At 34.0% G+C, this 12,354-nt stretch overlaps 1 long non-coding RNA gene and 1 pseudogene across 2 annotated transcripts in view; both read right to left on the reverse strand.

The window, feature by feature from the left end:
* The window catches only part of LOC100128317 (uncharacterized), a 115,021-nt gene that overhangs the window by 24,036 nt on the left and 78,631 nt on the right, over positions 1 to 12,354 (reverse strand). For both annotated transcript variants that reach the window (NR_126025.1, NR_126026.1), the window contains one exon: positions 7,055 to 7,222. This is a non-coding gene — a long non-coding RNA (uncharacterized LOC100128317). The remainder of the gene's footprint in view (positions 1 to 7,054; positions 7,223 to 12,354) is intronic.
* On the reverse strand, positions 10,463 to 10,986 carry DDX43P3 (DEAD-box helicase 43 pseudogene 3; annotated as a pseudogene).

Genomic DNA, 12,354 nt, shown 5'->3' on the forward strand with positions numbered 1-12,354 from the left:
ATCTGGTTGTTTAAAAGTGTGTGGCACCTCCCCCTCTCTCTTCCTCTTCTTCGTGCTCTGGCCAGGTAAGACGTGCCTGCTTCCCCTTCACCTTCTGCAGGGATTTTAAGTTTCCTGAGGCCTCCCCCGAAGCCAAGCAGATGCTGCTATGCTTCCTGTACAACCTGTGGAACCATGAGCCAATTAAACCTCTTTGATTTATGAATTACCCAGTCTCAGGTCTTTATTCATAGAAATGTGAGAATGGACTAATACAGTGATACTAACTGGAACATGTCTCTCCAGTGCTATATAGCACTATGACTTTGTAGATGAGTCACCAGGAATAGCATCGGAAGGCTTTGGCATCTTAAAGAAGCCAAAGATAGACTTTGGTTAATTTAGACAACATTGCTAGATTAGGTTTCAGAGGTTAACATAGACTTCCATTGGAATAGACATGAACAAGCCTTTGGAATGCAGCCCTATGAATGAACTCAAGTAATAACAGTAGAATAATTATTCAGCCAACCCACAGAATTTTAAGAGATAAAACAGCGTTGTTTGAAGCCACTATGTTTTGAGGTGGTTTGTTATGCAGCACCAGAAAACAGATACAGGAGGCATGCAGATCTGGAGTTGGGTGAAGAATTAGAAATACAACTAAGAATTTATTAGCATAGGGACATCCACGTGTATATTACATCAAGAGGACCAACAACTAAATCAGGCATAGTCCTTGTGCTCAAGGGATTCAATCAGGGAAATAAAATTATTAAAGAAAAATGGTTTAAAAATACATAAGAGGAGCATATTCCCTGATGCTGAGAACAGGGTAGATGCTGAACTAATGACACTATTTCTGAACTAATACAGGAAAGATGTGAATGAGTTGGTCAGGAGAAGAATAGAGGAGGCAGAAGACATGCTATGTGCAAAGGCTCAGGGGAGAAGAAAGTTTTGCATTGGGAGATGCATATTTGGACTAAAATATAGAACATACAATGGGGAATAGTAACTTTTCAGTCTACAAAGATAAACAAGAGCCACATTTTAAAAAGAATTGTGTGTCAGTTTAAAGAACTTGGATTTTACTTTGGGGGAAAATAGAAAGTTAGCAAAGAATTATAGGTGGTATCACCTATATAGAGACAGCAAAAAACTGTGGGAATATGATCCTGTATGTACATTAGTAAAATTACTTTCAGTGAAGAGAAAATTGTGAAGGAATTCTGAAAGGAAGGGATCAAGTGAGAACGTTGGTGCAAAAATCTAGAAGAGGGGTGCTATGGTTTGGATGTTGTTTGTTCCCACCAAATCTCATGTTGAAATTGATCCCCAGTGTGGTGGTGTTGGGAGGTGGGGCCTAGTGGGAGGTACTGGGGTCATTGGGGTAGGTCTCTCATGCATGGCTTGGTGCCTTCTGTGTGTGAGCTGTCCCTCCCATGAGACTGGATTGGTTTTGAGGGAATGGATTAGTTTCCAGAGGGTAGGTTGTTATAAAGCCAGGATGCCACTCAGATTTTGTTCCTCTTCACACATGCCTGCTTCCCCTTTGACTTTCTCTGCCATGATTTGATGCAGCATAAAAGCCCTCAGCAGATGCCAAGCAGATGCTGGTGTCATACCTCTTGCACAGCCTCCATAAGCATGAGCCAAACTAACCTCTTTTCTTTATGAATAGCCTAACCTCAGGTACTCCTTCACAGCAACACAAAATACACTAAGACAAGAGCTTATAAGGATGTGACATGAGATAGTAATCATGGACATGAGATAAACATACCAAGGATTTAAAATCTATAGAATTTGGTGAATGACTGGAAGCAGAAGGTGTGATAGAAGGAGTCAGTAAGGCATGCCTGTCACAGAGTTTTCTGAAGGGTAGATGGCAGCAAGGCTACCATACATGATGGTGTTTATGATGTCCTGCAAAATAGTAGATGACGACTGGGGGCAAGAGTAGCTGAGGACTACATACCTTAGTGCTTGACTGCATCTGCTCCGGAGAGAGCTGTTTTACATAATTTACACAGAGGTTATATTAGAGGCAGGTTTTTGGAGAAAATAATCTGTGCAGATTTGAATAATTCAATTTAAAATATTTAAGAATATGTCTATAAAGTAGATATATTGGTCTGAAGTTAAGTCATAGTGTTTGAGCTTTGTGTGTGTGTGTATATATACATATTTATGTAATTGAGATCATCAGAATATATATTTTAATTGTAGTTAATGGATACATAGATGGGTTTGTAGTCAAGGGATAAATGCAAGGTAAACTGTGTAGAATATGGATAGAAGAAAACCTAAGTAGACCTGAATAACACAAATATGTACAGAATAAACAGAGGAAAAATTTAGGAGGAAGAAGAGGAGGGAAGGAAGAAGAGATATATGGGGAAAACTAGCAGAGTATATAGTGCCATGAGCATGTTTAAAAAACTAAAGAGTGGTTTTCACCTCTAAATTTTAAAGAGAGGTTATATATAAGATGAAGACTTAAATATGGCATTGTTTTTAACAATAAAAATATTGCTATGTATGGTGGCATGTCTTGTTGAAGTGACCTGTCACAACTCTGTTCAAAAATAAATGGAAAGTGCAGGAGTAAGAAAAATGTAGAGAACTCTAAAAATATTTAACCAGTTAGATGAAATGCCAGATGTTCTATAAAACGTCAAAAAAAAGACAAGACAGTAAAAGAAAAGAGACATAGGGCAAGAGTGAATTTTGTTAAGATAGGGAAGGCTTATAAGATCAGTTGAAAGTTATTGAAAATAATCGGGAGAGAAGAATAGAAAATATAGGAAAAGGGGATAATCAGTGTAGAAAGAAATATGAGGAGTGGGGATATGGAACTCAACCAAACTGAAAGGAATGAAAGTAGACAAAGGAAGGCATGAATCTTCTTTTGCAACAGAAGAGTAAAAAGAAGGAATTCATTGCAAAGAACTAACTATAGGAAATAGCCTAAGGAATTTCCCTCTTGATTGCTTATAATTTTCCTCAAATTTGTAAGCTGATTTTATCTGTTAAGAGAAAAAGGTTTCAGGTGAGTAAGAGATTTAAGATGAGACTGGAGAAATTCTATCATAACCAACTTGGCAAATTAAAGAGAGATCTAACTAGAGAAATATTGAAGAACTACCAAAAAGCATTTAGGGCCAAGCAAAATCTAGAGTGCAGAAGCTGGCTCATGTGATTTTTTTTCCAACAGTATTCATAAGCTTAGGCACATCAATAATTGGGTCTCAAATTGGAGTTTTCATGGGTAAAGGTTACAGAAGAAGTACAGGCCAAATTATCTGAAGATATTGTCCAGGAAGGGTTGAAAGATGGATTATACTGCCAGATTCAGAAGTAAAGAGAAGTGGTAATGACAGAGAGCAAAAGAATAAATCAATGGATTGTTGACGTCAGAGATGAAGCATCTATCCCTTGACTACAATTAAAATGTAGAGATGATAAAATGCATAGTAAGGGTAACTGAATAAAAGAATTGAAAAAGCATTAGGAGTGGGATTCTAAAATTAAGAACATGAAGTAATATTGTTCTGGGTGCTGATGAAGTTCTGACTGCAGCCATGGGAGTGTATGGATGGAAGTAAATGTTCAAGTCACAGAGCTTTAAGTAAGCTTTACACCAAATAAAGTAAAGGACCTGAGAATTTGGAGGGCTGGATAGGCCAAAATGTGAGTATCAAAGAATCCTAAAAGATGGCGGCCGGATCTGAGACAGGGAGAAACACTGTGAGTGATATATTCAAGTCCTTAGGACTCAACGGAGAGTGATTAGTACGGTTTGGTAAGGAGCCAAATATCCTGAGCTTCAATTGAGCAAGGGAGTTTCCAAAGAGGATCGGGGCAATGGTCAAGAATCAGCTCTGCGGAGTGAAAAGAATGCCGACTTCCCACTTCCTGACCCAGAGATATGAGATGTGTGGGAGAATGAATAACATGAGTTTGAGGCATGCTGCGGTCATCCCATAGGACAGCAAATTTCAGTTAATGCCGAGAGGTAGGGAAATGTCACAAAATAGGTTGAGAAAGTAAGGGATTTTATTTGTCTATTTATTTACCATATAAAAGCCATGACCATTTCACAGGACACCACTGAAAGGCATGAGAACGTAAGAAGCTTGAGAGGTTAGTTTAGGGGGCACATATTTTCCATGTAATCAGATTCAGATATTTCAATACTATTAGGTAAGTGTTATGTAAAGAGGATGGGAGGTTCATCTGGGAGTCAGGCCAAGGTTTGCAGTATCACTTCTAGCAGAGGACAAATAGGAAAAAATAAAATAAAAAAATAAAAAGCCCTGGGTCAGAATGGCAGGCAATCAGCCGCCTGAGACGATGGGCCTTATTGCAGTCTAACTATCAGAAATCAGCAACTCTCCTACTAAAGGAAGGTTTCCAGTATCTGACCCTAGTCAGAAGGAAACAGTTGTTCAGATTTTACTCAAAATTTGAGGTTTCGAGCACAGTCCTGTAGACTGAGAGAAAAGGGAGCAGGTGAATCAACAGAAGTTGGAATTGATTTCTGTGGAAAAGACTGAGCTTGTTCTATGTGTGTGGAGTTGTGTTCAGCCACTGGTAAATCATTCAAGTGAGGTGACACTGGGTGGTGAGTAAGATATCAAATTCTTTTTGTTTTAAAAGCCATTTTCTTAAATTTATAAAAATCACGTCCAGCAATATTTTGACATTTTCTGAGAATGCCACACAAATAAACACACACACATTTTTAGAAATATCTGAAATGTAAATAAAACAGCTATGCTACCTTATATCTCATTTCAGAATTAACATCTAATTAAAATTGTATATAACTGTAGAAATCATACACTGAGTAAAAAACATCATAGTAAGGAAATAGGTTGATCCTATGTCAGAGGACATCAGAAACATCATTTGCCTTTGCAATTTAGCATTGGTTGGATTCTTAATTGTGAAAACAAATACTTTTGTGTTTTGTTTTTTTTTTAAATGCGAGACACTGTCCCACTTTTTCATTGAACCTACTGAGAGTCTACCATCCAGCCACCTGGTTAGGCACAGGGTGATGTGAGGAGTACGATGTATTTTCTGCCTTCACGGACTAATGTATTAATACTTCTTCTTGGGAAAAATTCCACTCCACAGTCAGTTCTCAAGCACTGACAATATCAGGGTTGGTAGTCAGCAGACCAGGATTTGTTCTGGAGAAAACTAATGGAGAACTTCACCATCTTTCGCTGTGTTCACAGATCGAATTCGGTTGATGCAACTATCCATCCTAAAGTGTCATCTCTCACTACCATGGGCACTGCAATTCCCCACAAGCACTTTGGAAGAAAACAGGCAAAGTCAACCTAAAATTGGCTCTAGAATTTTGGCTAGGGGTTCTTTTAAAAAGGGGCACAATCTTAGCATTTAATTAGTTAATTTTTAATGTAATTTCAAACAATTAGATTATGAGCCAAGGATGGTAAACAATGCAAGGTAAACAGAGCTACCATATCGTGATTTTATTTAGTGATACTTATCTAGTTTTTAAGCCACATGGATGTAAAACTTAATAAATGATATTATTTATTTTGTTTATCTTCACTGTACCGAAACGAAAACATTTTAAAACAAAAAATAAGTATTAATTATTTTTCTTGAAATTAGTACAAACATATCTGTCTTCACTCTATTATCTTTTTTGCCATAAAGGAACAATTTTTGGTCAACCTTTTCAGAGCTTGAATTTAGGACTATTAAGAAATAACTTTGAAATGTGATGATGCTTAAATTAATTTTTGAAATTCAGTGATGGGGTAGAACTAGGTCAGGAAATTGAAATTTTTCCAATGGTATGAGACCTAGGAGACACGGTGATTCACTTTATTATTTAAACCAAGGTTAATTTTTAGTTTTTAGTTCACTTTATTTATTTAAGCCAAGGTTAATTTTTAGTTTTTATTGTTTAAATGCACTAGAAAGTTAAGTTTGCACAGGGATTGTTTTAAAATAAATAAAAGAGCTATGCTAACCCACAGATGAGCTTTGTTGGTAGTATCCCTTTATTTTCATATAAATGTTTAAAATGTTATCATTGTTATAAAGCAAAATTATCTCTTCCTATTCTAATATTATTATCATATATTTCAGGCATGTATTGGAAAACAAGTGTAAGAGAGGATATAAGAAAATCCTACAGATAATGCATTTGCTTGATTGATTTACATAATCACTGTGTTTCATAATAACTGCTTATGGAATAATGGGAAGTTTTATAAAATGCTGGCCTTGCATATATCTTAGAATGCCAATTTAATAAAGTGTGTTTACATGCATTATATACATAGATAGATGATAGATAGAAAATGGATATGTCCTCTTTCCTATTTTTCAAAGAATATCTTTTTTCGTAAAAAGAATGAGATGACTCTCACGTCATTTTTATGAACAAAAATTTTATGTTTTCAGGAAACAACACTTGTGACAATGTTGTGATATCACAAATATGGGGCAAGGCGGGAATGGGAAGCCCCCTGAGAAATTGTGTTGAATTTATGTGACTATCTGCAGCAAATTTTGACCAAGAAATCTAATGTACCACTTGGGTTCAACAAAATAATTTTCTTCAAAGTCTAAACTTTAAATATGTTCTCACTCATATGTGGAAGCTAAAAAACAGTGATCTCATGGAAGTAATAAGTACAACAGAGGATACTAGAGACTGGGAGGGATAGGAGGAAGGGAAGGAAGGATAGGGAGAGACTTGTTAAAAGCTACAAAATTGCAGCTAGGTGGAAGGAATAAGTTCTGGTGTTAAGCACTGTAGTATGACTATAGTTAACAATAATATATAGTTTCAAAAAGCTAGAAGGAGGATATTGAATATTCCAGACACAAAGAAGTGATAAAGGTGTGAGATGATAAATATGCTAATTATTCTGATCTGATCACTATACATTATATGTGTGGAAACAACATTATGTACCCCATAAATATGTACAATTATTATCTGTCCATTTTAAAAGTAAAATTAAAAAGTAATAACTATAAAGCAAATAAAAATATAAATGTCACAATTACTTACTTGCATCGATGGCAAAATCTTATGTTTTATTCAGAAAACGGTAGACATCTCCCTTTCCAGCCACATCTTTATCATAAGCACGACTTAGTTGTGTTCCAGGGAGCATATTTTCAGGCAAATTCACTGGGTTAATTAAAATCTGAATTTCTGTTTTAATGTGTGAAAACACTGAAGAGATAACACAGAAAGACTTCTTAATATCAAGAAAAATATAAAAATGAACAATTTTATCAATATCAATATTTTATCAATATTTCCATTTATTTGTCTTGATACGTTTCAAGCTGAAACTGGAGTAAAAAGTTTCATCTAAAACTGAGTAAGTTTTTTTTTTCTTTAACATATCAATATTGTTTTTCAGTGATGAATTGTGTAGAACAAACTCGCAGGAAAGTACAAGTTTAGATCCCAGCTTTAATATATCTTTAGTTTATTCCTGTGTTCAACATGAATTTAACAATTATCATGCAGAATGGTTATTTCACAAGCAAATTTTGCTAATTTCTTCCTTCAGTTTATTGACCATTTCAGTGAAATCATTTCACATGCTCACACAAGCTGTATTTTTAAATATGAAGTTTGTTGTATTACAATTTAAAATGCTAATTGAAAAAAATCAAGGAAAACACATCTCTTCTTTAATTTGCTTAATTATTTTCATTGCTTTTCTTTTTATTAGAAAGAAAAGATCTGTTTTTGGTTTAGTTGTGAGTCATTGTAAATTACATTATGCTGTACCTCTGTAGTGGAAAACAGAAATAGGCATATTCTGAAACTCATTCCCAGAATATGTAATATGACTAAAAGGAAATAATATATATAAGAAATATCTAAAACAATAATTTAAATGTTAAAAATATTAATAAACTGATAAATAATATTTTTATGACTTTTTGTTATATAATAAATATTTTTACATAGCAAATTACTCTACAAAAAGAAGACCCTTACAGAAAAAAAATACCAAAAGTAGAATCCTGTCTAAAATAATCCAAGATTAAGAGTTGAGTTTTTTGTTCATTATTTAATATCACTTTCTCTCTCTCTCTCACACACACCAATACACACACACAAACAAAAGAATGAAAATGAGAAAGAAATATTCAATGAATTAAAAGGATCTCAGCAGGGATTCAAATTCCATAACTAACAATTAAACTTAATTTCCTTAAAAACGAATGAAATATCAAATTTGTATAAACCTGTGCATATTAAAATATCTTGACGATGTTCATATTTAGACCAGCTCCCCATTTGCCCTTAGCAACGTCTACAAACATATGCATGGCTTTGGCTATTAATACAAATTCAATCTTTACACAAATTAAGCCAACAAGTCACTACGTTGTTACTCAATATTGAAGTCAATAGTTTTATTCTATTTAATTGAGTGATTATGCACGTAGGTCATATTTCAGCTTCTGTGTCTGTTTCCCGTTTGTACCTGGTGAGAAGATTATCAGCAAGGCTAGGATCATTATATATCAACAATTTAAAATGTAAGTCTTTAGAGTTGACGTGGAGTAACCTATGGATAATTTTTGGCAAGTAGTTCAGGTGATTTAATTTTTAATCCCTGTTTACCTAATAGAAGCTGTTCTGCAAGTAGAATAAAGAATTATTTTTAATATGACTGCATAAATATTTGCAAACCCTGAGATGATTCAGTATTATTTCTGAGTGGGACTAGTTGTATACTCACCGCTCTACTGTTGGCTGAGTAACTCCAAAGTTAAGCAAGACCCACTCTTAGGTAATTTGTAACCTAGCAAAGATAATGGCTGGATAAAAATGGCTATACCACAACAGAGTGGGTAACATGTTTCAGTAAAATAACATGAAAGTTCAGAAGAGTAAGGAAACACTTCCAAAAGAGGACGAAAAGGAGAAACCTTCAAAGAAGTGGTGGCTTTTCAAAAATGAGGCTTTGATGCTTTGAAGCACCAAAGTCTTGATAACAGCATCCTATTAGAAAAATAGTTTTCAGCCTGTTTCTCTCAATATATGTGCATTTCTATATTCATAAATTATTTAAATGCACCACAGCATGGTATATTTTATATGCTCATGAAATACACATGAAAACGAGAATAAATGCAAAAGAATGATATAAATGTGGAAAATATTGTATTACATTATGTTATACCTATCACATCATATTATATTGCAAATGATATAAATATACTACAGTAAATGTTTTTCTATTTCTAAAATGTTACTAATAACATTTTAGATAGTACTTATTACTACATTACTAATTTTCATAATGAGATGACAAAGATAAATCAGTTTTAAAACTCATTTTATTAATTAATTATACAATAAATGTTAAATATTAATCATACATGTATAATAAAGTACTTAATATTTATTTCATAATACTTGGAGTGGAAAAAATTAATATGCTTTATTCTTGTTGAAAACATGATTTTACATTATATGATATTACATGTTCATAGCAAAGATCAAAGTTCAGTTTATGTTCATACTCAGAGGATCTTAAAGATACAAAGGATCCCAAACATCCCTCACAAATATATGTATAAGTAAATAGGAGTGCATCATTTTATACTTAATAAATCATAAACTCATTTTTCGGTTTTATCTATCAACACTGAAAAGTATTGAATATAGCCAGCTGTAAAATATTCTTCATCGTTGATGTCAATCCGATTTTATTTCAAATCAATTGGATAGTATTTCATTTTACATTTTTACTAGTTTAAAACCTACTGACATTTTTTATGTGGAAGATTTTTACACTGATTAGAAAATTCTGTTTTCCAGTACAAGTAGGCAGACAAGTGTTTACGTAGGTGACACAACTGTAGTGGTCTCAAGTCTAGAATGATGGAAACATTTTCAAATAAGCCTCTCCATACTATGAGTTTCTTTCAGATGACAATTGCTTTCTTATTCATCAGTAAATGCCAGAATTATCTTTATGGGACTGATAAAGTACTTATTATTGTCTTTCATGAAGCAATTGTATATTATAAAATATTTTAAATAAATTTCATAGTCTTTATTGTATTATTAAATTGTATTTGTTTAATAATAAATTAACAAAGTTGGAAAACTTGACCTTTTCTAACGGAAAAATATGTAGCTCATCCTTAAATTTGACAATTCTATAAACACGATGCCAGGGAAATAAATATGTAGGGTACAAAATATTTTTATTATTATGCCTGATCTCTTTATAAAACTGTATGATTCTTAGGGATCTGGGTTTTTGTTTTGTTTCCCAAGTATAAATACTTCTGATTTTATTAAAGAAAGTATAAAACATTGAATTCTACATCTTTAAACACTGGTGTTTTAATAAATAGTCGAATCAGTTTGGTCTCTTCATAGTGCCGGTATGTCCAATACTTCTCCGACTAAGTTTTTCTTCATTGGTGGTAAATCAAGTCTGCATTCCGAATTGTAGTTTTCTTCTGGCTTTTTAATAAAATTATCTATCGCTGCTTTCGCTTTTGTTTGCATTGCCTTGCCGCTAAAATTTTTGAGTAATGATTCTAATTGTTCTTGTATTGTTTAGATTGCGGTGTTTGTTGTACTTTGTATATTCTTTATTTTTGACCCACCGCGCGCGACCCATCACCACACCGACAAAGTGGTTCCTCAAAGCAAAACACTGCGGCAGTTCCCGGTAACCAGCAGCCAACCGCCTCCTGGAGCCTATAGGGGCCTCTCCAGCCGCCACCACCTCAGCCGTCCCTATGTCCCTCAGGACCTCTTCGATTCACCTCCTCCGCCGGCCTCCTCTCCGGTGCCCGGGACACTGTCGAGCCTCACCAGCTAGCAACGACCCATGTAGAGGCCTGGGAGGCTTCTCCTTGGAGAGACTTTGTTCCAAAAATAGGCGCGTCCGACTTCGTTCCCGTCCGGCTCTGCACCATCTGACGGTGCCGTTGTAAGACTAGAGTGCGATCTGTGTTTGATGACTGCTTTCCGCTTCTGGCTTAAATTTTCCCATCTTTTCTGTAATAAACTTTATTATGAATATTGCAAATGAATGTATTTCATATATAATGCTATTTCTATAAGTAATTCTTAAACTCTTCGTTTGCTTGCATTAATTCTGGGCAAACAGCCATTATATAAAAATTACCCTTCAATTTTCCCCCATGAATTATCAATTATATTTTCTTTCCAGTAGTCACTTTTTGATGAGACCACGTTTTGCTTAGCGAATGTTTCCTTTAGTAGTTCAAAGAAAGTGATTCTTTAAGTTTTTCATTATTAAAATAGAATATTGCAGATATCATAAACTAAGACATGTTTAAAAACCTGAACTTTCATTCAACTGTAGAGCAAATTTTTCACTCTAAATGATTAATTCTAATCAATTTCTTTATATCCGTAACATTTCTTTACATCTTACAAAAATGTGATAACAAGCAATACATTTTACTTTGTCTTTTATTTCACATCATCTCTTTTAGCCAATTTCCACTGTAGGAAGAAAATTTATTACCTCAGTCAAATGTGAACTTCTGTCTTTTGCTATTTATTTATTGCTGAATTGGTAAAATTTTGTCAGATTCAAAATGTACACATAATTTATAACATTGCTAAAATATTGTATAATTTTGACTTCTTCATGTTCTGGGTGCTAAATTTTAACATTTTGCCACCTGGGATGTATTCATGCTACCATGAGCAAAAAATCTCCAGTGAAAATGTACACTACAGTTAAAATTCATTATTAACAATAGTGCATGTAAATATTTACTGCAACGATTTCTTCTGAATAATTCTGAATGTTGTTTGGCTGACTTCTGGGCAGATCAATTTTTAGCTCCTAACCCTAGAGGTAAGCATGCCCAGTGTCATTTATTTGCCTCAACTGCCTCCGCGCAAACCTTTTTATCCTCATTCTGGCCTCATTGAATTTAAATTTCTTTTTTATTTAGTGAAGAGAGATTTAGTTTAAACAAGATTATATAATACATAAATCCAGTTCAACTGCATTTATATGAAGTCTAAATGATTGCAATATGCTGAACATGAACAAGTCTGGGAGAATTTCTTTGTCCGTGCAGAACTCCTACCCTGCCTTCTACTTGTGAATGTTTGACATGAGAACGCCATAAGAATGCCAATACCTACTTAAATATTAAAGCTGAGTTTTTTCTTGTATTTGAGATTTTAAAAGAATAAATGTAAATAGAAGTTCTAATATTTCCTTCTAGCACCAAAATAGATCATTTAACACATTGCCTTGTGTATAAGAATCACATTTTGGAAAATGCTAATTGATTTAATGTTTATGAACTATTACACCAGTAAAT

This window comes from Homo sapiens, chromosome 7, assembly GCF_000001405.40.
Source record: "Homo sapiens chromosome 7, GRCh38.p14 Primary Assembly".
Classification (NCBI taxonomy): Eukaryota; Metazoa; Chordata; class Mammalia; order Primates; family Hominidae; genus Homo; species Homo sapiens.